The 2,886-nt window shown below is 37.3% G+C and overlaps 1 annotated feature.

Moving 5' to 3' along the window:
* Nucleotides 1,721-2,497: an enhancer, noted in NCBI's record as "OCT4-NANOG hESC enhancer chr17:52333726-52334502 (GRCh37/hg19 assembly coordinates)". NCBI's record gives its function as "activates a minimal SCP1, AML or CMV promoter by ChIP-STARR-seq in primed H9 embryonic stem cells {active_cell/tissue: H9 hESC(primed)}" and the evidence as "EXISTENCE:reporter gene assay evidence [ECO:0000049][PMID:30033119]".

The following is a 2,886-nucleotide window of genomic DNA, read 5'->3' as shown; positions in this document are numbered from 1 at the left end:
GTACATTTGTTTTTTAATAAAATATATATGGATTAGAATAAATTTTAGATGCATATGCAGAAAACTCAAAATAACTTGATTTATACCAAAGTCAAGAGCTTATTTCTCTCTCATGTTAAAGTTTGGAGCTATGCAGATTAGGGCCAATATGCCAGTTTTTTCCCACTACGTTCTCAAAGACCCTGGCTGCTTCCTGAATATGCTTTCTCTAGTGCATGTCTTTCACACTTATGTTCCAAGACAGTATCTATGTTTCAGGCAGCAAGGAAAAAGTTCATTAGTAAAAAGGGGCAAAGGGGCAAAAAGTACCCACCAATGTCTTTTAGTGATGGTTTCTGAAAGTTGCCACACATTTCTGAGCATACTCCATTGACCAAAACCTAGTAACATAGCCACGTTGCAATGCAAAGGAAACAGGAAAGTGTAGTCTATTTTGGAAGGCCATGTACTCTACTAAATATCCAAGAACCTGGCCAGGAGTAGTGGGTCACACCTGTAATTCCAACAGTTTGAGGGGCCGAGGTGGGCAGATCACCTCAGGTCAGGGGTTCGAGACCAGCCTGGCCAACATGGCGAAACCCTGTCTCTACTAAAAATAATTTTAAAAAAATTAGCCAGGCATGGTGGCACGCTACTGTAATCCCAGCTACTTGGGAGGCTGAGGCAGGAGAATCACTTGAGTCTTAAGAGGTGAAGGTTGCAGTGAGTCGAGATCCCACCACTGCACTCCGGCCTGCACGATGGAGTTAGACTCCGTCTCAAAAAACAAACAAACAAAACAAACAAACAAAAATTCCAAGAATCTATGTTAATGGAAATAATCATTTAAAAAATAGAGTAGGACAACACATTTCTGCACTCCATGATTTCATCCCACTCCAAAAAGGCAATTACTTTTGATTTTTTTCTATTTAATTATTCAAAAAGTTATATATATAACTAAAATATTTGTTAATTCCTTTATTTTTTGATTTATCAATAATATACTCTTCTCTGACTGCCATTATAAATTATATTATTAGTATAGTTTATCTGGTGTGGCCGAAAGCCCCCAGATAAACAAAGATGCTCTTATCAGGCATGATATTCCAAGGAATAAAAGATTTCCTCCCAGGAGCTGAAGGCAAAGGGCCAAACTTATCTTTGGGCAAGGTTAATCCTTTCTGCACACAACTCGTAATGTGACTAGGCAGGTTACTCAACTCTTTAAAGAATGGTTCTTTAGTTCCACCTGGGAGCAAACAGTACAATTGTATATGCAGGAATAAACAGGCATTATGACCATTCAGTCTCTGCTCCCCTTCCTGCTTTTACTTTCTTTAATTTTCTTATGTGAGTGTGGTTCTGCAGGTTCCACCTGAGCATTCCTTTAGCATACACTGCACTGATTCTATTTCTGTTCAGTTTTCCTATCAATATGATGCTATATAACTTCAATATTTCAATGCTTCACCTTCCATACTTAGAGTACAGATAAGCGCATCACCTTAATCTACCCCTCTAATGATCCTTCTTCCCTCTCTGCACTTTTATGAATGTATTCCTTTTTTACCTTCCTTACCATCATTTTAATTGGATTTTGGTAGGATATGAGATAAATACAACATATGAGATAAATACTCAGAGTTCAGTTCACTGTACCAAACTGTGAGCTCACACATAAATTTCAACTCACTAACTTTGGAAGAGATTTTTAAAAGTAATCTCTACCAAAACATTCAATTGGTTGGAAGTGAATTTCTGACTCTTTGGGAGGGGTGAACTGTTGTGCAAATGAAAGCCTATATGAAGTCATATCACAGAGTCCTACTAAAATCTTCCAGGTTCTGATAAATCATCATGGTGGAAATGAGGTTGTTTAGCATATCAAAAATGGTTGCAAATTCTTTGACATGCCTTGCATTGAGAGATGGAAATCTATGTCCTCTTTCCTTGAATCTTGGCATATTTTCACCAGAAAATATTGTAGAATTATACTTGTGGTGGTTTCCTTGTCCAAGCCTTAATAGACTGTCCACTTCCCCATCCTTCTCATGAAAATGTTTGCTCTGGGAAAGTAAGCCACTATGCAAGGATTGCCCTAAGATTATCATGCTGTGAGGAAGCTCAAGCTAGCCATGGGGGAGGCTGCATGAGAAAAAGAGGAGAGACGGCCATTCAATTCCAGCTATTCCAACCATCCTAGCCTACATGCAAGGCTGTCAGTGAAGAAGCCGTCTTAGACATTTTATCTTAAGCAGATGCAACACAGAAAAAACCAAAGAAACTGGTCGACAGCCAGAACTGAAGCCCCAGATACATGACCATAGTTAAATTGCCCAATCAACTTCCACTCATTTAAGTTATCTCAGCTGAGGTCCCAGTCACAGTGGAGTAGAGACAAGATACCTTCTCTGTGTCACTCTCAATTTTCTGACCAACAACATTGTGAGCATAATAAAATATTTACCTTTTTACTCGAAAAGTTTGGGGTGGAGTGTTATGCAGCAGGAGATAACTAACTAGCACAGGTTTTATAAGCCAGGATTTTTTTATTTTGATAAGCACCTTGACTACGCTATTAGTGATAGAAAGTTAAATATGTTTATCTTTTTTCCTGTGTCTCTGGAGAAAAAAGTATTGGAGCTTGACTCTAAGGAAGGCATTTTCTAAATGTAGGTCTTTATTGCCTTTTATCCACTGAAGCTTATTATATTTGTAGTCCAATAGATAGTTTATTTTCTAAGATTTATATTTAATCAATCAATGGATTAGGATATTACTTCATTTATAACATGTTAAATGATGCATAAATGTAATATAATACAAATGAAATGTGATAAACTGTAGAAATATAAAAACAAATTTGATTCAATATGTTCGCAGTTTCTTTTGCCCTCTGTCAGT

Source organism: Homo sapiens, chromosome 17, assembly GCF_000001405.40.
Source record: "Homo sapiens chromosome 17, GRCh38.p14 Primary Assembly".
NCBI lineage: Eukaryota > Metazoa > Chordata > Mammalia > Primates > Hominidae > Homo > Homo sapiens.
The sequence above is the reverse complement of the archived record's forward strand: the minus strand, read 5'-3'. Positions and strand labels throughout refer to the sequence as shown.